The sequence below is a fragment of the Homo sapiens genome, chromosome 9 (genome assembly GCF_000001405.40).
Source record: "Homo sapiens chromosome 9, GRCh38.p14 Primary Assembly".
Lineage (NCBI taxonomy): Eukaryota > Metazoa > Chordata > Mammalia > Primates > Hominidae > Homo > Homo sapiens.
In genome coordinates, this window is record NC_000009.12 from 136309719 (window position 1) to 136332364 (window position 22646).

At 59.9% G+C, this 22646-nt stretch overlaps 1 protein-coding gene and 1 long non-coding RNA gene across 3 annotated transcripts in view, besides 5 other annotated features; one reads left to right on the plus strand and one right to left on the minus strand.

Moving 5' to 3' along the window:
- Positions 1–12583: 12583 nt before the first annotated feature.
- DKFZP434A062 (uncharacterized LOC26102) lies at positions 12584–17605 on the minus strand. Its single transcript, NR_026964.3, has one exon. It is a non-coding gene; the product is annotated as an uncharacterized LOC26102 (long non-coding RNA).
- Positions 14198–14824: an enhancer, noted in NCBI's record as "H3K27ac-H3K4me1 hESC enhancer chr9:139218370-139218998 (GRCh37/hg19 assembly coordinates)". NCBI's record gives its function as "activates a minimal SCP1, AML or CMV promoter by ChIP-STARR-seq in primed H9 embryonic stem cells {active_cell/tissue: H9 hESC(primed)}" and the evidence as "EXISTENCE:reporter gene assay evidence [ECO:0000049][PMID:30033119]".
- Positions 14825–15453: an enhancer, noted in NCBI's record as "H3K27ac-H3K4me1 hESC enhancer chr9:139218999-139219627 (GRCh37/hg19 assembly coordinates)". NCBI's record gives its function as "activates a minimal SCP1, AML or CMV promoter by ChIP-STARR-seq in primed H9 embryonic stem cells {active_cell/tissue: H9 hESC(primed)}" and the evidence as "EXISTENCE:reporter gene assay evidence [ECO:0000049][PMID:30033119]".
- Positions 16655–16949: a silencer, noted in NCBI's record as "tiled region #1004; K562 Repressive non-DNase unmatched - State 8:EnhW". NCBI's record gives its function as "represses a minimal TATA promoter and a strong SV40 promoter by Sharpr-MPRA in K562 cells {active_cell/tissue: K562}" and the evidence as "EXISTENCE:reporter gene assay evidence [ECO:0000049][PMID:27701403]".
- The window catches only part of GPSM1 (G protein signaling modulator 1), a 32063-nt gene continuing 27237 nt past the window's right edge, over positions 17821–22646 (plus strand). For both annotated transcript variants that reach the window (NM_001145638.3, NM_015597.6), the window contains exon 1: positions 17821–18045. In NM_001145638.3, coding sequence (NP_001139110.2) covers positions 17978–18045 — 68 coding nt within the window. In that variant the 5' untranslated portion in view covers positions 17821–17977. The remainder of the gene's footprint in view (positions 18046–22646) is intronic.
- Positions 17983–18512: an enhancer, noted in NCBI's record as "H3K27ac-H3K4me1 hESC enhancer chr9:139222157-139222686 (GRCh37/hg19 assembly coordinates)". NCBI's record gives its function as "activates a minimal SCP1, AML or CMV promoter by ChIP-STARR-seq in naive and primed H9 embryonic stem cells {active_cell/tissue: H9 hESC(naive and primed)}" and the evidence as "EXISTENCE:reporter gene assay evidence [ECO:0000049][PMID:30033119]".
- Positions 18513–19041: an enhancer, noted in NCBI's record as "H3K27ac-H3K4me1 hESC enhancer chr9:139222687-139223215 (GRCh37/hg19 assembly coordinates)". NCBI's record gives its function as "activates a minimal SCP1, AML or CMV promoter by ChIP-STARR-seq in naive and primed H9 embryonic stem cells {active_cell/tissue: H9 hESC(naive and primed)}" and the evidence as "EXISTENCE:reporter gene assay evidence [ECO:0000049][PMID:30033119]".

The following is a 22646-nucleotide window of genomic DNA, read 5'->3' on the forward strand; positions in this document are numbered from 1 at the left end:
CACCCAAAAGCACATGCCCCCTGTGATATTCAACACACAGCACACACACCCACACAAACACAACACACACAGACACACAACACACACAGATACATACACACGCGGTGCACGCACACCACACACAAACACATACACACACAAACACAATACACAGATACACACAGTGCACACACACCACACACAAACACAACACACACAATGCACACAACACACACAGATACACACAGTACACACACACCACACAAAAACACACACAGACACACAAACACAACACACAGATACATACACATGCAGAACACACACCACACACAAACAACACACAGACACACAACGCACATAATACACACAGATACACACAGTGCACACACACCACACACAAACACATACACACAGAGACGCACAAACACAACACACACAGATACACAGACACACAGTGTGCACACACAACAGATACACACATCACACACACACCATGCACACACATGAGATACACAACACACACAGGCACACAATACACAGACCACACATCACATATATTCCACATGCACACATCACACAACGCGAATACCCAGACAACACACACTGTACACACATTCACATACAACACACACACACGCCTGCCCGGGTCTGCAGGGCAGGCAAGGCCAGCCCAGGCTGCTAGGGTGACTGAGTCCAGGCACCTGCCCCTCCAGCTTTGGCTACCCCATGATGCTGTAGACGGCTCTAGACACCAACCACTCCCCTGGGGCACGGGGGGACTGGGCCACATGGAGGTGGCAGATGCAAGGGTGGGAAGGAAGTGGCACAACAGCCAGTGATTTGTGAAGACCCTAGGGGAGGGTGCCACGGGAGAAGGCAGACGGAAACTCTGAAAGGGGTGAGATGAGGTGGAGAGAAATCACAGGGAGAGTGGCCCTCAGAGGAGTGACAGGTAGGACCCGGGGTCACAGCTGCTGGCACCCCCCACCCTCTGGGCCCCAGCCCCTGCAACGCCCTCGGCCAGCCGCCAAGTGTGGTGACGCAGCCCCTAATAAAAGGCCCTGGCCTACGGCACACACGGGTGGCTCAGAGCTGCTGGGAGACACCGTCCACCCCCGCCAAGGAGAGGCCACAGCCACGGCAGCAAAGCGTGAGGGCGGCAGTCCCCGCAGCAGGCCACCCGGCACCCCCCAGGGCCACTGTGGATAGCAACGTCTCCCAAGCCTGCGTGGCCCGGGCACCCAGCCCTGTGCCCAGCATGTTTCCCAGGCAACCATGCAGCTGTGGAGCCTGGGACCCGGCAGCGGCCGGCATGGGATGCCACCAGGAGAGGAGCCACGACATCCCCGCCTCGGGGTGCAGAACGGTCTGCTGGGCCCCCTTTGTGGGGGTACAGTGGTGAGCCTCTGTCAGCCGGCTGCCTCCACCTCTACCACACGCTGCCCAGCAGGACCAAATGCAGGACCAGGCATCAGCCATCTGGGGCTGGGCAGTGTTTATCCCCATTTCACAGATGGGGAAACTGAGTTCATTACATGACGACTTCATCCCAGGGCCCCACGTGGGACCTGAGCCCAGAGGCGGGGCAGCCCAGTGGGTGGGGAAGGAGAAATTCCTCTCCTGGAGATAGCCTGGCTATGCCTCTGAGGAGGCCCCAAGCCCTCAGAGGGAGCCCCTAGGTGGGAAGACCCCCTCCCCTACCCAGGGGAGCTGGATGGAGGAGTGTGGGCTGGTCTCTCCCGGCTAAGTTCCTGGAAAAGGCAAGTCTAAGCCCCTCCTCACCGGTCTGTGCCCTTTCAGCCCCACCCATCAACCCTGCTGGCTCTCCAGCCCCAGGCCCCTCTGCTGGTGCTTGGGAAGGACTGGGTGGGGCTCAGGTAGAAGCCCCCTACTCACCCGCTGGAAGGCCCAGGCCTCCCTGTCCGTCATGGGAGGCACCTGTGACTCAAAGGCCACTGCCCTGAGCACACAAGAACCCTGGGAGCTGGCGCCTCCAGGGAGGGGAGGGACGTTGTTGCCAGAGAAACCCTGAGGCGTCTGTGCGGGCTCCTCCCCGGAAGCTTCAGAGCCCTGCGCAGCCCCAGCACTCACCAGGGGCCTCACCTGTACGATGCCCGCCCCCCGGCCCCCCAGCCCTGCTGTGGGCAGGATGGGGTGGGGCACACACCTGGGGCGCTCCACCCTGCTAGGCCCTGAGGGGCTGTGGGGGACAGAGCAGGGGAAGGGTCTCCAGGCACCACCAAGGACCCCACCCTGGCTGGCAGGGGGTAGGCACGCACTCGGGGCACCCCGCCCATGCCCCTGCTGTGCTCCCGAAGAACAGCAGGGGAGGGCGGGGCCATCAGAGTCCCCAGCAAGCCCTCCCAGCTTGCTGCACCCCTCATTTCTACATCCTCTCCGGGGACCCCCCACCCAGCCAGCAGGGCCCAGCAGCTGCAGGCTTCCAGTCCGGAGCTGCTTCCGAACCTCGAAGCAGTTCTGTTGAAGGGGGGCCCATGGGGCACTTTGGGCCTGGCCAGGGGACTGACAGAGGCACAGCCGAGTCCAGTGGCACCAAACTCAACCCTGAAGGCCACTCGGCTGCTGGAGTAGAACCTATCTACTACCAAAACAAGTTAAAACTTAGCCAGGCTGGGGTGGTCAGTCGGGGGAGGAGTAGTAACGGGAGGGCTGTGGGGGGCCCGGCTGCCGGCCTCCCTCTCCTGCTGGGCCCCACGGCCCCTACTCAGGGTGTTGGGTCGCTGGGTCCTTGTATGCCGAGCTTCCCCGTAGGCCATTAGGCCAGTTTTTCAACTAAGGGTGCTAATTAGTTTGCAGGACAGGACGTGCTGCCCCCACTCCCTGCCCCACTCCCAAAGCGGGCGCCTTGGGGCCCAGGGGTCCCCTTAGGGACAGGCAGCCTGTCTGACCCCTGAAAATCCAGGGTTCTCCCAGGGGACCTACATGGCCATGGGGGTGCCAGCAGGTGGCACCCTCTCCCCATCCTGGTGGGGTTGCCCGCAGGGCTGTGCTGCCTGTGGAGAGGGTGAGGTCCCTGACACTCATCACCTGCCCCCCAGAAAATGTGTCCCTTAGCTGGATGCGGCGGCTAACGCCTGTAATCCCAGCACTTTGGGAGTACAAGGCGGGTGGATCACGAGGTCAGGAGATCGAGACCATCCTGGCTAACACGGTGAAACCCCCGTCTCCAATAAAAATACAAAAAATTAGCTGCGCGTGATGGCGGGTGCCTGTAGTCCCAGCTACTCGGGAGGCTGAGGCAGGAGAATGGCGTGAACCCGGGAGGCGGAGCTTGCAGTGAGCCGAGATTGTGTCACTGCACTCCAGCCTGGGGGACAGAGCGAGACTCCGTCTCAAAAAACAAAAAAAAAGAAAAAGAAAATGTGTCCTTCCAACCCAGAAAATCGCCCTACGAAAACAAATCTGTTGCCGAGAAACTCCTTTTGGTGTTCAGATTGGAGCTGGGGGCAAAGGCTGGGAGGTGGCCTGGTCTCTCCAGCACTCAGGGTGTCCTGCCCCTCTGCAAGCAGCTGGGGGCAACAGTCCCTTGCTCCCCAGAGGTTGCTCAACCCTGTCCCAGGCAAGGCCATGCTGCAGGTGGCCCCTATCCTTGGGCAGGCGGCCGGGGCCAGGCAGCCCCCGCAGGAGCTTCTTGGACCGTTGGCCTCAACACGGCCAGGAGGTGTCCAGGTATCCCAGATGAGGCCCTCGTGGGTTTATTCCCACCGCGGATGGGCTCAGGTTTGTGCCGTCCTGGGTGGGCTTTTGGAGACAGCCTGACTTTGTCCATCAATGTCAGAGAAGCAGGGGGATGTTCACCTGGCCCAGGGCTGTGCACAGAGCCTGAGACCTGCAAGAGGAGGCAAATTCCTACTGAGTGTCCCAACCATCCCCTACCCGCGTCCCTTCATGCTGGGTTGTGGCCCCCAAGTGGACAAAACGAGACAGCAGTGCTGCCATGGGGACACACCAGTTCCTCCCTACGCTCACCTGTTCTCTGACGAGAGGGAGCAGCCCCTGAGGCCTGTCTGGGGTGTTGGCTTCATGAGGGTTCACAGTGTTACCAACAAGAGCCTGCGTGATCACAGAGCTCAAATACCACCCAGCCCTCAGCAGGCCCCACTCCCACAGAGCCCTGGGGTCAGGGTTCCAGGTGCAGGCCGAGGGTCCCCATGCACTTCAGCAGTTGTGCCAGCCCCAAAGCAGCCTTCCTCCATGTCTACAGGGGGTGGCCCCAGCAGCCGGCTCAGGGGAGAGCTCTGGCAGGAGCTGTGTATGGCTCCATGTTGCTCAGAAGAGAGCCCCTGGCTGGGCATGGTGGCTCACACCTGTATTCCTGTACTTTCAGAGGCTGAGGCGGGAGGATAGTTTGATGCCAGGAGTTTGAAACTGTCCTGGGAGACATGGCAAGACCCTAGCTCTACAAAAAAATTTAAAAATCAGCCAGGTGTGGTGGCATGTGCCTGTGGTCCCAGATACTCGGGAGGCCGAGGTGGGAGGATCACTTGAGCCTGGGAGGTCAAGGCTACAGAGAGCTGACATTGCACCATTACACTCCAGCCTGGGCAACAGAGTGAGATCCCACCTCAAACAAAAGGAGAGCCCTCCCTGCTCCCTGCCCTCCTGCTGTGAGAGGCTGCAGTGAGTCTTTTCCCACAATAGAGGGGTGTGATGTGCTTCCCCCCACCACGGGGGCAGGGCAAAAAGTAGATAAATTGGTATTACAAGTGTTTTTGCAAAACAGCCAAATAATGCTATGGGGCTTCCTATGAAAAATAATTTCCTTCTCCTTTCCCAGAAGCAAGCACTCCCATTTCTAGCAGACTCCTTCGGTGTTTACTCTGTGCCACTAAAAAGCACACTCCTATGGCCGCTCCCTGACCTGTCAGGTTTAGGGGTTCCCCGTGCACCCCCACCTCTTGGCTTGTCTGACCACATATGTCCTTCCCACCCTCCTCATAAACTCAATATTCAGAATTTACATGAAAACACTATTTACAGCTGACCCTATAGGGTCTACAAATACTTTTCCTCTTGCTTTCCCCTTGGATTGTGTAATTTTCGGTGCTTATGAATAACTCAGCCTCAAATTTTCTTCCAATTGTCTAAATTTCCTGTGTACATACAAACATCTGAGGCAGGTATTATCACTTCAGTCTTCTGGAAGAAATTCCTCCAGAATCTTCTCCCCTGCTCCAAACTGGGCTGATGCCAGAGGAAGGGTGGCATCCCAGGATCTCCCCAGCAGGGTCATTCTGGGCCTCCCAGTGCTTCTGCTCTGAGGGGAACCCCCTGTTCCCTCTTCTCTTTGTAGTTAGGCTCCTTTGTTTGGGGCACCACGTCCCTCAAGTGGCTCCATGAGAAAGGGCACATGCCTGAAGGTGTCTTTATACCACCTGCCGTGTGAGCACTGGATGGTTAGTTTGGCTGGGTATAGAAGTCCAAATTGGGAGACATTTTCCTGGAGAACTCTAAAGGCCTTTCCACACTGTCTTCTAGCTCCTGGAGTTGCTCTTGAAAAGTCCAAAGCATGCCAGCCTGGAAATACCATGAACTGTGTGTCCAGAAAGACCCACCAAAGACTTGTGCTCCAGGATAGACCACTTACAACTCATCAAGGCCGCATGGCTGGCGCTGGTCAGAAGGACACCAGCACCTCCAATGAGGTCAATGGGGACTCCCCTGAAGGCCAGGGGCTGTTACAGACAGCAATAGAGATGAGAAGATCCTAAAATAACAGAGGCTGGAGGGTGATGCTTAACTGCTATGAGATTGCAAATATCCTAATTAATGGAAGGGTCAGAGGGGCATCACCCTGGAGAGTTATGGAGATGATAAACATGGTGTCCCTGGGGCAGGATAGATGGGCAGTTGTCAACTTGTACTAGCAGAGTAAATGAAGGATGAGTGACTGATGGCGGTAGCCCCAATAAAAAGTCACAGTCTTTGCTGGGGTTTGGACCTGAGCCAGTCTTTAGACCTGGAAATGTTGATTGAAGAGGTTACCAGGAGGGACATGCAATATTCTGGCCAGCCCTTCTCCACAGGGACCTATAGGACCTGCGCTGGGATAGGGGACTGCTGGACATTTGAGGACAGTGGGGTCAGGGTGACACAGATACCCAGAGACCCAGAATGTCATCATGCCCCCACATTGGAGCAGTCATTGGCGGAGTTCTGCCCAAGCTGCAGTTCGCAGTGGTCCTTACCCCAGGCTCTAAATGAGGGCTGGGATTGACATGTGTGGAGGGGGCCACTGGGGCCCCCACATTGGACCCTTGATCTGCAGGATAAGAGCTCTAATTATGATTCCATGGGGAAGGGCTGGGTGAGAAAAGGCCTCTGGGATACACATGCATCCAACAGGGCAGTGGTCTCGGGCGGCAGCGGTGTGCCCAGCACTCATCCACAGTGCCATGATGGTTGAAAACCTGGAAAGATTCCGAGGCCTACCTCATCCATAAAGTATTTAGAGGGGTGGTGATTGGGGTGTTGCTCGGAGGTCGGGGAGTTGCTCAGTGGTCGGGGAGTTGCTCAGTGGTCGGGGTGTTACGCAGTGGCTGGGGTGTTGCTCAGAGGTCGAGGAGTTGCTCAGTGGTCGGGGTGTTGTTTGGTGGTCAGGGTGTTGTGCGGTGGCTGGGGTGTTGCTCGGTGGTCGGGGTGTTGCTCGGTGGCCGGGGTGTTCCTCGGAGGTCAGGGTGTTGCTCAGCAGTCGAGGTGTCGCTCGGCAGTCAGGGCATCACTCGGTGGTTGGGGTGTCTCTCCATGGTCGGGGTGTTGGTTGGGGTGTTGTTTGGTGGTCAGGGTGTTGCGTGGTGGCTGGGGTGTTGCATGGTGGTTGGGGTGTTGTTTGGTGGTTGGGGTGTTGCTTGGTGGTCAGGGTGTTTCTTGGTGGTCGGGGTGTTGCTCCGTGGTCAGGTTGTTGCTCAGAGGTCGGGGTGCTGCTCAGTAGCCAGGGTGTTCCTAGGAGGTCGCGGTGTTTTTTGGCAGTTGGGGCATCACCCGGTGGTTGGGGCGTCGCTTGGTGGCTGGGGTGTCGCTCCATGGTCAGGGTGTTGCTTGGTGGTCTGAGTGTTGCTTGGTGGTTGGAGTGTTGCTCGGAGGTTGGGGTATTGCGTGGTGGCCAGGGTGTTGTTCAGTTGCTGGGATGTTCCTGGGCCTCTCCTCCAAAGTGAAAGCCAGATGGTTGTCTCTGCACCACCTGCTGCAAGGAAAGAAGCACAGACCCTGGAGGCCTGTTGGGTTCTGGGAGGCAGCACAGCCACACTGAGGAATATGCTCTGACCCTGTCCCAGGTGGCAGGAGGAGGACACACAGCAGGGAAGGACTCGGCGGCAGGCCCAGGCTGAGGAGCAGAGAGCCCTCCCGGGGCCATCGCGGCTGGCAGACCTGCTGGTGTTGCCCACAGCAGGGATGGGAAATGGGGCCAGGGGCTCATGGCAAGGCCCAGCATGAGAATCTCAGCCCAGGCCCCAGGGTTCTGAGCGAGGCTTTCATCTACAGCAGGGCAGGGAGCCACGCACTGCTATGGAGTGAATGTGTGTCCCACAGTTCATAGGTTGGAGCCCTCACCCTCTGCGTGGGCAGTCGGAGTAAGGAAGTGACGAAGGTGACAGGAGGTCCCAAGGCCAGACTCTGATCAGATGGGGCTGGTGTCCTAAGAAGGACACACACTAGAGAGCTGACTCTCACCACCCCAGGAGAGGCCGCATGAGGACACAGCACGGGGATGGCTCTCTCTCTGTCAGGACCCAGCCCTCACCAGAAACTGAATCAGAGAACCTTGACCTCACCCTGGCAGCCCCAGGGCTGTGAGGAATGAGCAGTCATTTAAGCCACCTTCCTATGGTGACTTGCCACACCAGCCCACGCAGACCAAGACACACAGCTTTTGAAAACCAAGTCCTGCTGGGCTACTGGACCCCAGTGGAGACAGACACCTGGCCAGGCATGTCAGGGCATGAGGTGGCAAGAGCTGCCCAACGTGAGCTGGCACAGCCAGGCCCACCCAACCCTAAGGTGGCATGCCCAGCAGAGTTCGCTGTGCAATGGACGTGGACGCGTGAGGACAGACGTGGGGAAGGCAGAAGGCACCACAGTGTGGGCAGGTGCCCAGGCCCAGTCCCGCAGGGCCCACCCACCCTCGGGGGCTCTCCCAGGACCGCTGGAGGAGGGGTAGCTGGCCAGGCTTGGGTTACGGATGGATGGGCTCAGGGAGCACCGAAATGGGCGCAGCTGCATGCCAGTGCCTCTGGGGAGGCTCTGGAAGGCTGTGGTGCAGTCACCCTCAGGGGGACTCTGACACTGCCCCGGTCACCCTCGCGTGGGGGAAGGGACGCAGCCTGAGGGGAGAATAAAAATGGAGTCATGGGCCGAGGCAAATGGCCTCTCTGGCTGGTTAGGAATCTTCAAGAAAAAGATGGAGCCGTCAGGGAAAGGAGGCCTGGGCAGAGGCTTGTGGGGTGCGAGTGGGCTCCTGGGAGGCCTGGGCAGAGGTGTGCGGGGTGTGGGGGACTCCTGGGAGCAGAACAGTGCACGGTCTTTGTATCACAGTCTGTACCCTCCAGAGAGCATCTGCCGAGACACTGAGAAGCCATGCACACGGCACCGTCCGGCCCGCCGGGCATCAGCCACCCCCGCTGGCCAGTAGTTCACCCACAAAGTGGCCATGATGGCAGACAGGCAAACTCTCAGGGACCCAGCAAGCGGTCCAGCTCTGTTCCCTGTCTCTCTCCATGCTGCACTCCTCCCCAGCCGTGCAATTCCACAGCGGGGTCTCCTCCCTGGCCCCTGACCTCTGTGATGCACAGTTTGAGATGCAAACAAACTCCCTGAGTCGATGCAGTGGGGTGTGCGAGGGGCTCAAAGCTGACGCACCTGCACAGGAAACTCAGTCTGCCCTCCCCAGACGCCTGTTAGGCTGACCCTGGAGGCCCTGGGCCCAGGGGAGAGGAGCCCCCGCAGCCTGCAGAAGTAGGGAGGGGGCTGCTGCAGAGGTTGCAGGTTTTCATGGCAACCAGCAGCGGGTCACTGGGCCCAGGGTGGAAACCGCTCAGCAGAGGCTCAGGGGAGAGACTCTGCGAGGGTGGGTGGGGCCGGGCGGGGGTGCGCTCCTTCAGTGTCATCACGGTCAGACAGTCCATCAGACAGACGCAGGGCGGGCGCAGGGTGGGGCCCAACTGAGGCTGGCACTGTGGCCTGGGAGGAGCCCCGCCTTGCACCTCATGGCCATCTGGCAGGACATGTCCACTGCCAACAGTGAGCCCAGCATGGGCCTCGGAGGCCCAGCAAGGCAGACTCGGGGCTTCCTGAGACCACCTGGAGTAGCACCCACTCAGCTCCCAGGGTGCCTGGTCGCCTCCACCCCATGCTCCCCATAAGGCCCAGGCCAACCTGAGCACAGCCCCCGCTCTGCCCTTCCCTGGCCCTGTCCTCATGGTGAAGTGGTCCCAACACCTGGCATTGTCCTCCCTGCACTGCTGTGCCCGCTGCGGGACTGGCATGTGCCCCTCTGGCCCATCTGGCTGCCCCGTGAGTGGCTCAGGGTTGCAGGGTCTGAAGCCACACATGAAGTGGGGGAAGGCTGGGGGCTGGGAACTGGGCCTTCCTCCTGTCTTGGGACCAAGGCCTCCGCTTGTGAGCCGCTGAACTGGGCCTGAGCCGACACCCTGGCTGGACCCTTTCTTTTTTTTTTTTTTTTTTTGAGACAGAGTTGTGCTCTGTCACTCAGGCTGGAGTGCAATGGCGCAATCTCGGCTCATTGCAACCTCCGCCTCCTTGGTTCAAGCGATTCTCCTGCCTCAGCCTCCCGAATAGCTGGGATTACAGGCGCGTACCACCACACCCGGCTTATTTTGTATTTTCAGTAGAGACGGGGTTTTACCATGTTAGCCAGGGTAGTCTCGAACTCCTGACCTCTGGTGATCCACCCGCCTCAGCCTTCCAAAGTGCTGGGATTACAGGCACCCGGCCCCCTTTCTTTTTTTAATTTAATTTAATTTTAAGCTCCAGGATACACACGCAGGATGACGGGTTTGTTACACAGGTAAATGTGTGCCATGGATACACGTTTGTGTCCCACAATTCATAAGCTGGAGCCCTCACCCACCGTGTGGGCAAACTTGGAGTAAGGAAGTGACGAAGGTTACATGAGGTCATGAGGCCGGGCCCTGATAGGTTTGCTGTACCTATCAACCCATCACCTAGGTATTAAGCCCTGCATGCATTAGCTATTTTTCCTAATGCTCTCCCCCACCGCCCTCACCTGACTGGCCCCAGTGTGTGTTGTTTCCCTCCCTGTATCCATGTGTTCTCATTGTTCAGCTCCCATATATGTGAGAACATGCAGTATTTGGTTCTCTCTTCCTGCATTAGTTTGCTGAGGATAATGGCTTCCAGCTCCCTCACATCCCTGCAAAGGACATGATCTCGTTCCTTTTTATGGCTGCATAGTATTCCATGGTGTATACATACCACATTTACTTTATCCAGTCTGTCACTGATGGACATTGGGGTTGATTTCATGTCCTTGCTATTGTGAACAGTGCTGCAGTGAACATACGCATGCATGTGTCTTTATAATAGAATGATTTCTATTCCTTTGGGTATATACCCAGTAATGGGACTGATGGGTCAGACGGTATTCCTGGTTCTAAATCTTCGAGGAATCGCCACACTGTCTTCCACAATGGTTGAACTAATTTACATTCCCACCAACAGTGTAAAAGTGCTCCTATTTCTCCACAACCTTGCCAGCATCTGTTGTTTCTTGACTTTTTAATAATCACGCTTCTGACTGGCATGAGATGGCATCTCGTTGCGGTTTTGATTTGCATTTCTCTAATGATCAGTGATGTTGAGCTTTTTTTCATGTGTTTGTTGGCCGCACATTATGTCTTCTTTTGAGAAATGTCTATTCATATCCTTTGCCTACTTTTTAATGAGGTCTTTTTTTCTTATAAATTTGCTTAAGTTCCTTGTAGATTGTGGATATTAGGCCTTGTCAGATGGATAGATTGCAAAAATTTTCTCCCATTCTGTAGGTTGTCTGTTCACTCTGATGCTAGTTTCTTTGGCTGTGCAGAAGCTCTTTAGTTTAATTAGATCCCATTTGTCAATTTTTGCTTTTGTTGCAATTGCTTTTGGTGATTTCATCATAAAATCTTTGCCCATGCCTATGTCTTGAATGGTGTTACCTAGATTCTTCTAGGGTTTGTATAGTTTTGAGTTTTACATTTTATTATTTAACCCATCTTGAGTTACTTTTTGTATAAGGTGTAAGGAAAGGATCCAGTTTCAGTTTTCTGCATATGACTAGTCAGTTCTCTCAGCACCATTTATTTAATAGGGAATAATTTCCCCATTGCTTGTTTTTGTCAGGTTTGTTGAAGATCAGATGTTGTAGATGTGTGGTTTTATTTCTGAGTTCTCTATGCTGTTCCATTTGTCAATGTGTCTGTTTTTGTGCCAGTACCATGCTGTTTTGGTTACTGTAGCCTTGTAGTATAGTTTGAAGTCAGGTAGTGTGGCTTTGTTCTTTTTGCTTAGGATTGTCTTGGCTATAGGAGCTCTTTTTTGGTTCCATATGAATTTTAAAATAGTTTTTTTTTCTGATCTGTGAAGAATGCCAATGGTAGTTTAATGAGAATAGTATTGAACCTATACATTGCTTTGGGCAGTATGGCCATTTTCATGGTGTTGATTCTTCCTATCCATGAGCATGGAATGTCTTTCTGTCTGTTTGTGCTGGCTGGATGCTTTCTCTGGTGGTCAGGCCAGGACCTCCCTGCCATGTCTGCGTGTCCCTGCATGCCCCAAGCCCTGCCATTCCTCAGGATTGCTAGGCTGTCCTCTCGGTGACATTGCTCAGAGTCTCCACTGGAGGAAAGTCCCAAGGCTGTCTGCAGGCCATGACTGAAACGTGCTGTCCCCTCAAAGGCACGGTGGCTGAGCCCAGGAGCCGGGTCCCTCACGGCCAGAGAGACGAACTTCCCCGACATTCTAGACGGACAGGGCCCTCCCGGAAAAAAGCTCTCTCAGTGTTCAACGGTGTTTGTGCGTCAGCCGCGTCGGCCCCGGGCTAGGAGCTGTGGTTCTGCTGGCCCCTGCGCGCCTAGAGACACAGGTGTTCTCCCCGACAAGGGGATGGGAGAAAGGGGACAGCCTGGTGTCCACCTGCCAGGACCTGGCTAAATGACAGTGGTACATCCACAGCGTGAATTGGATACGGCCCCTGTTATGCTTGAGGAGAGTTTTTAATTTGTTTTTTGAGACAAGATCTGACTCCGCAGGATCACAGCTTACTGCAGCCTCAAACTCCTGGGCTCAAGCGATCCTTCTGCCTCAGCCTCTCCAGTAGCTGGGATCACGGGCATGTGCCATCATGCCTGGCTAAATTTTTAAAGTTTTTTTTTTTTTTTTTTTTTTTGTAGAGACAAGATCTCCTTGTGTTGCTCACACTGGTCTCAAACTACTGGCCTCAAACGCTGAGTGCTTCCCAAAGTGCTGGGATTACAGGCGTGAGCTTCTGTGCCTGGCCGTGAAGACCTTTCAGTGATGCATTTCAGTCCATTCCTGCTGCCGTAACAAAACACCTGAGCCGGGGTCATTGACACACAATAGACATTTATTTCTCACGCTTCTGGAGGCTGGAAGTCCAGGGTCTCGGTGCCAGCAGCCTCAGTGGGAGTGGGGGCTGCTCTCTGCCTCCCAGTGGGTGCCTCTTGCTGTGTCCTCTCCCGGCGGAAGGTGAGAGGACAAAGGGGAGGGGGCCTCGATGGCTTCCCAAGCGCTTCAATGGGGACCCTGGTGACTTAATCACCTTCCAAAGGCCCCACGTCTTATAACGATCTTCTTGGGTCTCAGGTTCCAACATATGAAGGCTGGGGACACACAAACTCAAACCACAGCAGTGACACCCGGGAAAACAGTTGTGACACGCTGTGACAAAGGAAAGCCGCAAAGCCACACGCGTGGACCTGATCCAAGTTACGTGATAGCGCAAGGGGGTGCATGGAGGACTGAGTGGGTGGTGATGCTGCCCCAGAGGCTGTCCCTGGGAACTGTGCGTGGGGACTTATTTGGGGAAAGGGTCTTTGTGGATGTAATTAAGGACCTCAACATAAGACCATCCTAGATTAGGGGTGGCCTGCAGCCCCTAGAGCTGACCTGGATGAGCATGGACCCTCCTCTGTGACCCCCAGATTCTGAGCTCTGGTCCCCCGAGCTGTGAGGAAACACATGTTGTTTTAGGCCACCCAGTGCAAGGTCATTGGTACAGCAGCCCCGCGAGACTCCTTCGAGGCCCACAGCTCAGCACAGCCACGTTTACCGAGTGCCCTCCGTATGCCAGCCACGGTTCTAACTGCTCAGCCTCCCGCAACCCTCGGAGGTGGAGATGGGCGGGGAACGCGGAATGCGCCTGGGCCTCACAGCTGGGGAGTGGATCTGGGATGTGTACCCCTGCACTGTGCGGCTTCTCTCCCCCAGAGGGTTTCAGACTTACACCCGGCCATCGCACTCCGCAGACTGGAAACTCGCAACTCAAACCCCTAAAAGCGAAAGCTGGGGTGCATTTTCTGTTTGCCTTGGAGGGACTCCCTAGGATTTACTGGGGACGGCCGATTTGCCCTCCTCATCCTGTTTGGTTTGAGCTGATGTTAAAAGACTCGCCTCCCACCGCAGACCCGGGGGGAGACCTGGGGAGCTGCCCTCGGAAGCTGAGCAGCACAGACTCTCCCAGGCATGTGCACCTGTCTGTACATGTGTGCATGTGTGTGTGTGTGCGTGTGTGTGTTTCCCTGGCACTCACAGCATCACCATCTGCCAGGCTGGGTGGGGCGCAGATGAGGAAGACCAAGGAAGTTCCACACGACCTGCCTCGCCATGATGAGTGAGCGTGAGCTGCCTCCTGTGTGCCCTGCCTGCCCAGAGATCCCGGGGACATCACCTGGCTGACAAAGTCTGCAGCTGCCAGCAGTCGGCCAGGAATGCCGCATGGCCAGGTGTCTCATACTGGCGTGGGTGTCGTGCGGCCTCACGCGGCCCTTGAGCTATTTCCAGGTGTGGGTATCATCTCCCAGCGAGGTGCTCAGCCCTGGGGTGGGACAGACCGTTTCCTTCTGGCTCCCTGCAGAGCTTGTGGGCCCCTCCACCCACCCTGCAGTCCCCAAACTCCAGGGACTTGGAGGTCCCCAAGGAAAGGACATGGCAGTGGGAGATGATGTCATGAGGGGACTTGGGCAATGGGGAGGAACACATGGCCAAGCTGGGAGGAAGAATAAGTTCATTCTCAGAGCAACGAGATTATGTGAACATGGTAAACCCAAGTGTTCTTTTTAAGTGAGATTACTGGGAAACAAAGCTGAAACTGTTCCTTCTGTGTGTGTGTGTGTGTGTGTGTGTGTGTGTGTGTGTGTGTGTGTGTTTGGGTGTCCTTCACTGTCTCCCTCCCCACTCCCGGCCTGCTTCTTCCTTCCCCAGCTTGGAATCCACGGTTGAGGCTGGTCAGGAACCATCAGGACCCAGCATGGGTAATGGCAGCTGCTGGTGCCCTAGCCCCCACTGGGTCCTACAGTAGCTGCTTGTTGGGGAAGGGGCCTGAAAAGGTGGGAGCAGAAGGAAGCCAGGGTCTTGGGGCCGTGGGCTGCCACAGCCACCACAGAAACACTCCAACTTCTCCCAGCCCTAGCAAACCAGTGGAGGTGTGTGCTGGTGCTTTGTTCCTGGGGTGGCTTGGGGCCGCCTGGCTGCCTCTCCCGAGCCTGGCCCTCACCCAGGAGGCCACACCAGCCTCGAGTGCCCACCTCCGTCCAGAGCCCCAGCTCCCCACTCCTGGGGGCTGAGCCAAGAACCCTGTGGCTGTCCCACCGTCGCCTCCCAGAGGCTTGTCCGGCGCAACAGGACAAGGAAGGACTAAGGCTTAGAGTCGGCCCGATCAGGTGACGCCTGAGCTGTCACCGCTGTCACCACTTACACACAGGGTGTGTGGACAAAGTGGTGCGTGCCAGGGAGGGCTAAGTGACCGAGGGCAGGCACGTGGCAGGCTCCTGAAGGTGGAGGTGGCGCTGACAATGGCCACCAGTGAGCAGGGCCCTGTGTGTGCTGGGGCTGACTCCAACCCCTTGGCGCTGCCACGCAGGGGCTTGGGAGGGCCCCTCCCCAGGCACATGGGAGGTGGCCCCTCCCTGACCACGGAGCCATCGTGTCTGCAGAGGCCCACCCTGCGCCCTGTGCTGCTGCCTGGGGCCAGAAGAATAAGTCGATGTGAAATGGCTTTTTCTTTCCTCACCCCCCTTTGGGAGTCAGGCCCGTTAGGAATGGAAGGGGCTGTGCTCCTGGTCCCCTGGGGGAGTGAGCTTCCCGGACTCTTGGGGGGATCTGGTAAGGTGGATGGTGGGAGGCTCGAGGGTGTCCAGAGCCTGATGGGAGGGGGTGGCAGTGGAGGGTCATCCCTCCAGGGTCTCCCTTCTGGATGTGGACACCACATGTCAGGCCTGTCACCTGGCCTTGTCACACTCCATCTCTGGGTCCCCTTCATAGGTTTTCTCGACAGGAGAATCAGGTCCCTGGATAGGAGGAGACGCCCCTCTGTGCAGTGTGGTGGGGATGTACCCCCAATCCAGCCAGGACCCACTGCAGGGGCCCAGCAGGGGCAGGCACGAGTGTGAGAGCAACATGACCCCAGCAGCTCTCGCTGTGTGCCAGGCACATGGACACGCACCACACAAACCCCACCGTGTGCCAGGCACACGGACAAGCACCGCACAAACCCCACTGTGAGCCACTAGGCACATGGACAAGCACTGCACAAACCCCACTGTGTGCCAGGCACATGGACAAGCACCGCAGAAACCCCACGCCTCAGTGACCCTCCACACCTTGCGGGACGGGCAGCCCTCAGGTGACAGAACCGAGGCTCAGAGAGGGAAAGCAACTTGTGCCAGGTCACACAGCCTCATAGCCCAGCTCGGCCTAACAAAGCCAGAGCCCTCGGGGGTGCAGGTTTCCCCACAAGTTCTGATATAATGTTGGGGCTCTCCCGGCCCAGGGACACAAGCTCCCAGCTCTCTGCATCAAGGAAGGAGACCAGGAGAAGCTCCCCCAGCAATGACAGCTACGAGGCTGCAAATCTCTCCCTCCCTCCACCATTTGTGCAATGTCTTTTGTCCCCACTTCTCTTCACCAGCCTCCCACCACTAACCCAGGGGACCCACAAGGGGCTCACAGTGTTGGTGTGGACCCTCTGTGGGCCTCCTGATGGCAGCAGCGCCTGGGGAAAGAGGGCTGAGCTGAGGCCTGGCACAGGCAGGGCCCCCAGCAGCCCCTGCCCTTACAATGGGATGCTGGCTCAGGTGCCCGAAGCCCAAAGGAGGTGGCCCGGAAGGTTGGAGCTTCAATCGAAGGCCTGTTCTCTGCCCGCAGCCAGGCCCAGGGCTGTGGCAAAGGAGGGTGGTGCCCCAGCCAACACCACTGTCCCTGCCGGCCAGCAGCCACGGCCCCGGCTGGAAGGGAGCAAGGCTCTGCCTGGCTTCTGTGGTCTTTGGGGGAGGGCACGTGGGCCCAGCAGGCAGCTTGCGCTGCGCTCAGGGCACAGATGGTTCTCATTCCCGTTGCCTCCCTTACACAGGAAAAACAAACCAGCCCGGGGCCAACAGACCCCTTTTTAACCTCGTGTTTATTTTCCTTCCCATGCTTGAAAACGCTGACTGTCCTGTGGGCGGCAGCTGCTGAGGGTCTTGCCAGGACGGCACTTTCCTGACCTCAGGGCAGCTCTCCCAGGGAGGGGCTGGGGTGCACGGAGGGGCCCCGAAGGAATGCAGCCCATTTCCTGCTCCTGGACTTCTCCGAGTCATACCCGGGGTCGCAGCTGCCTTTCAAGGGCCTGGAGTCTCCTGACACCACCGGAAGGCCCAGGATGCTGTCGGGGGCAGGACAGAACCCGGGGAGGCCGGCTGTGGGCCTCGCTGGCTGCGGAGAACCCCCCAAGCCATCGGGAGCTGAGGGTGGGTGGAGGGGAAGCCACGTCACACCACATAGGCCCACAGGGCTCCAAGAATTCAGAGGAGGAGGAGGAGGCGGTAGGGGCTGGGGTCCCGGGACCCCGGGTGGGCACAGCCTACTGTGCCACCTGCATCCTCCCTAAGCCTGCACAGTGCCCAGGAGGAAGGAAGGGGCAGGCTGCATCCCCATTCCGGGGGAGCTTGGGAGGGGAATGTGGCCACCCAGGGTCTCAGAGGTGGGGGGCTTACCAACCGTCCCACAGGCCAAGCAGAGCCTGTATTTGTCATCGGTGCCCCAGGTTTCTCTAAAGCAGGCAGACAGCATCCCCACGGCCTGCGCCCCATGGCCCAAGGCAGAAGTTTGGAGAAGGGGGCAAAGCCACGTTGGGGCTGCACAGAAGAGGAGGGTAGGACCCCCGAGGCGTAGGGCGCCCACCAAGAAAGGCAAGGAGGCCTCAGCAGCCCCTCCCCACGTGGGTGAGGCTGCGGGGCTCACCAGGCGGCCTGTGGATGAAAGGAGCCCAGAGGCCAGTGTGGCTGCACTGTGACCCAGGGACCCCCGCGGGCCCTCAGAAGTCCCCAGGGGACCAGCAGCAAGGCCAGGCCCAGGCCCTCTCCCCTGCATTCCCTGGGGTGGGGTGGGCTGGGGCCCACACCCCCTCCCCCCTCCCCCCTCCCCGGGGACTGCCCGCCTCACGGCGCCCCTCCCCCCGCGTCCGCCCCGCCCCCCGCAGAGGGAGGCACGCGGCGGTGGCCGCCCGGTCCGCGCCCCCTCCCCGCGCGGGCGGCGGTGACATCACGGCCACGGCGGCGGGAGGGGCGGCGGCGCCCCGCGCACATCACTTCCTCGGCGCCTCCCCGGGGGAGGACGGGCGAACGAGGCGCGGACGGACAGGCGGACAGCAGGGCGGACAGCAGGGAGGACAGCAGGGCGGGCAGGGGGCGGACGGCCACGGCGCGGGGGGCGCTCCCGGCTCCCGCTCCCGCGTCCCCGACCCATGGCGGGCCCGGCCCCGCCCGCGGCCGACGAGCTCCCGGGCCCGGCCGCCAGGCGCCTCTACTCCAGGTAGGACGGGCCGGGGCCGGGGCCGGGGCCGGGGCTGGGACCGGACCGGGCCGGGTCGGGACGCGGGGGAGGCTGCAGTTGGGAACAAAGGCAGCTCTCGCGGGCGCGCAGCGTGGCTGAGGACGCGCCCCTCCCTCCAGGCCGAGCCCAGCCCGGCGTGTGCCCGCGTGGGCGTCCCCTGAAGCCCTCTTTCCCCCAAGCCAAGGGGAAGGGGGTGGGGGGCCGGGGGGCTGGAGGCGGGGTGGGCAGCTTCTCCAGCCTCACTCCCCTGGCACCTGGCAGGGGCACCGTGGGGTGCTTCCCTCCCAAGCCTGGCCCTGCCATGCCCGGGGCACTCAGGGGCATCATGGCCAAAGAGACCTGGCTGCTCTGGATGGGGCTCTGCCCCTCACCAGCCCTCCACGAGCCCAGTGGGATCCAGCTGGGTTGGAAGGGAGCCAGCCAGGTGGGTGTGTACCTGCCTGAAAAGGCATCTACTCTCCGGGCACATTCCTGGGTGATCCCAGTGACTGGGCTCTGTGCCCCACGCCTTTGGGGATGACAGGGTGGCCCTGCCCCAGGTGGCATGCCTGCCTGGTGACTCCCAATGTCCCCCCAGGGGCTGCCCTGGGCCCAGCCGGGCAGGTGCCTGGAGCCCCAAGCAAGGCTGGGTGGTACCAGGCCTCAGGCAGAGCCACACGAGCGTGAGGTCCAGGCAGGGGCTTGCGAATGGGTGGCAGCCGTCAGAGGCAGGCCTGGCTCCCCAGAGCGAGGGACACTATTGTCCTCTGGACATCCCTAAAACCTGGTGACCTCCCTGATAGGGGTCCCAGCAGCTGATCCCGGGGGGCGCCTAGCCTGGCCCCCAAGGATTCTCTGGCCCCAGCCAAGCAGCAAGCCTCTGCCTGGGGCACCCGAAATGAGGTACTGGTGGCGGCACGGCGGACAGAGGCCTTGCTGCCTCCGGTCTGCTCTCTGCTTTGGTCCCAGACACAGCCCCATTGTGCCGTCCTGGATGGAGCGCTGAGCCCCTAGCCTGGCTCCTGGGCCCCACGCAGGGGAGGGGCGTGAGGGTGATTTTGCTGGCAGCTGCTGCCAGGGGCCTGCCCTAAAGGATTTTCAAGGGTTTCCTCCGCTGATCTGATCGGCTGTGCAGGGCCGCATGTGCTCCAGGGCGGCCGTGCTGTGAGGGGGATGGATAGCAGCCCTGGCTGGAGTGAGTTTGAGTGTGAGTGTGTGGAGCTGTGAGAGAGTGTGTGTGTGGAGCTGTGAGAGACGGGTGTCCAAGACCTTAGCCTTGGGTGAGGCCTGCACAGCTGACCATAGAGTTGGGCATTCTCCAGGCTACAGCTAGAAGCCTGGGGTCCCCTGGGGACACGCCAGGCAGGAGCCAGCCCCTGGCAGGGGCAGTGCTCAGGGGGACCACTCAGAGAGACCCCAGACCCAGCCTTGCATCCCCCTAAGCAGGGAGTCCAGTTGAGCTCCAGGGTGGAGTCAGGCCCAGACTTGGGGGAAGCGCGCCAAGCCCTCCAGCAGGGCCTGTGACGAGGTCCCCCCGGGAGTCTGCACCCCACCGTGTAGCCACAGCCCGGTTTGGGCAGGCGGTTCCTGGTCGGAGCTGGCTTCAGAGCATGGATGCCTAGACGTGTTCTGGGCCAGTGGAAGCTGCGGGCCAGACGGGAGGGCCCTTTGCTGTCATGCTGGGGCTGGAGAGCAAGACACGGAAAAGTCTCCTGTCTCCTGAAACCCGAGTGCTGGGGGCGGCCCACCTGCTGGCGTGGGCGGTGGGCATGTGGATGCCCTGGAGGTGGGCGGAATCCGTGTGGGCACTCCTCACGTGGCTGTACTGGGGTCCCTCAATGTGGATGGGGCTCCAGGTTGGCCCAAGGTCTCCTCTGCCCCGTCTACTGCCTTCCCACACTGACATTCCTTCCTGGAGAGAGGAGTTTCAGCTTTTAAAATGGGGAACTGTGCCTGGAAAACACACTGACAGCGAGGCCCATGAATGTGCCCATGAGCCCACTGGGTACCCTGAGGGGCCCTGGGTGCTGGGTCGGTGGGGACGGGCCCCTGGGTTCTGGGTCGGTGGGGACGGGGCCCTGGGTGCTGGGTCGGTGGGGACGGGCCCCTGGGTGCTGGGTCGGTGGGGACGGGGCCCTGGGTGCTGGGTCGGTGGGGACGGGCCCCTGGGTGCTGGGTCGGTGGGGACGGGCCCTTGGGTTCTGGGTCAGTGGGGATGGGCCCTGGGTGCTGGGTCGGTGGGGACAGGGCCCTGGGTGCTACAGTTAATGCTCAGAATTCTGGCCCACTTGCCAGGGGCTCCCTGGCCCAGAGCAGGGCTTTGGGGTGAAGAGGCCTGGCGGGGACAGGCCAGTGGCTGAGAAGGCCCCGGAAAGTGGGGAAACCCTGGGTGGTCGTCTCCTGGCCTCCCACCTGCTTTAAGGCCAGCTGAGTGCTCCCCGGGGCTGGGGCCGGGAAGGGGCAGCAGAGCCACCCACCTTGGGGTGACCCTGTTAGAGATGCCCTCCAAGCAGCAGTCACCAGCTCCCAGACAGGACGTCCTCAGGTGTGGACTGGGCCCCCCGCAACCTCTCTGGCCACATGGCCATGCTACCCCCTACCTTCACTCCATCCTTCCTCCCTCCCCTGTCCCCGTCCTGGGCACCATCCCTGGTGGGTCGCTGGGCAGCGACGGGCCCTAGGAATTCCTGGCAAGCCTGACCCCAGGTGCTTCCTACAGCTGGGTGACCTTCAGTCCCCTCTCCAGTGATTCCAGCTCCCGCTGTGCTCCCAGCCCGGTCCTGCGCCTCACTCTCTCCCCTCCCCTGGCCACTGAAGGGGAGTCGGTGTGGTTTTCCCTGGGGGTGTCTGGCTGGGGGATGGGGCAGATAGAGCCAGCTGTGAGCAGAGTCTCTTCAGCATCTGCTCAGGGGCCAGCATGTAGGTGACGGCCTTGGGGAGGGGCAGGTGCCAATTCTGTTAGCAGGGCTGGGACTGAGGGACACGGCTTTCGGGTGGCCGGAGGTAGTAGGAGTTGCAGTGCTGGCTTGGGAACTGGCCTTGGTGATGGCACCCCAGCCACCACGGAGGGTCTGAGGGTTCAGTCTGTTGACGAGGACTGGGCAAGGGAGAGGCATTCTAGGTCCTGCCCCGCCTTTGGCCAAGCTGTCCTGAAGGTGGACAAATGGTCTGGCCTGAGTAGGACCCCTGAGCCCACAAGGCCTCAAGGTAAGGAGGAGAGAGCCCAGGGCCTGAAGACCCCCACCTGTCCTTGGATTCCTGCCTCTGCTCAGACCCCGTGGCCGTCTCAGGGATAAGACCTGCCCCCCCAGTCCCCCGCCTCTGTCAGGTTCCAGCCTCCTCATGGGCCACAGGTGGCTGGAGAAGCTGGGAGCCCAGCTGAGAAGGACGCCGGGGGCTTGGGAAGTTTGAGGAAAGGAGCCAGGCTAGGGGAACGTGGTCCATGCCTCCCAAGCCCCACGACCTGGGGAGCGGCATCCCCCAGGCCCCACGTGGCCCTGACCCCGTCAGACCTGGGGCCCTGTTCGCACCTTGGCCAGTCAGGTGAGGGAGAGCACAGAGGGCCCGGCAGACGTGGGGCTGGCATGGTGAGGACTCTGAGCCCCCCCCCCCCGCTGCCCCATGCTGGCACCGTGGGCTGGTGCCAGGGAGGCTGGGGAGGGGGCCAGGTGGGGTCGGGTGGAGCAGAGGAGGCACAGGGGCCTGGAGAACCGGTAGGCGGCCAGGGGCCACCACTGCGCAGAATTCCAGCTTTGCCCAGCCCTGGGCCAGGCCTGGGGGAAGAGGTGCTGGGCTGGGGGCACTCACACACTCTGGACGCCATTCCTCTTTCCATTCACAAACGTGCCTGGCGCTCCCGAGTGAGCCCGGTCCTGGGGCAGAGCAGCCCCCGCTGGGAACTGGATAAACGTTTGCAGAGGAGTTGGCGGGTGACTGACGGGAGGGCAATGCCGCTGGTCCCAGTCCCTGGAGGAGCACGTTGGACGGGATTACCCCAGGGCTCCCCGCCCCGCTGCTGACGAGGCTGACCCAGCCTCTGAGCTGTCCTTGATCCCTTGATCCACGTCAGGGATTGGGGAGGCCCCCGAGCACCTGCTGGAGGACTGGCAGTCCCCCGCCGAGCTTTAAACCCACCATCCTGGAGGTCAGAGGGCAGGGAAGCCTAAGGCCAGCCCACCCCCCAGGACCCGTGGCCATGGTGGGGCGAGGGCTGGCTTGGGGGAGGAGGGCCTGGGGCCTGGCGATGCCATCCCCTGCTGGGGAGGGCCCGCCTCTGGCCCTGAGCTTGGCGGAGAAGGCCGTGTGCAAGGTGGTGTATGGCGCCCCCCGCCCCCGCCCGCTGCTGCTGCCCGTGGGCCTGGAGCTGTGGCTCTACGTGCAGAAGATGCGAAACCTGCAGAGGAAGAGGTGCGGCGGGCAGCGAGTGGGGTGGTCACGTGGGTGTGGGTGCCAGGGCGTGGTTGGAGGCTGTCTTGGGATGAGTGGAGGGGACACCCACCTGGTGCAGCTGCAGGTGGCTGGCTGCATTGCCTGGATCCCAGATTGGAGGTGCAGAATGACAGAGGCCCATCCGTGCACCCATCCCCGACTTTTAGGCCCAG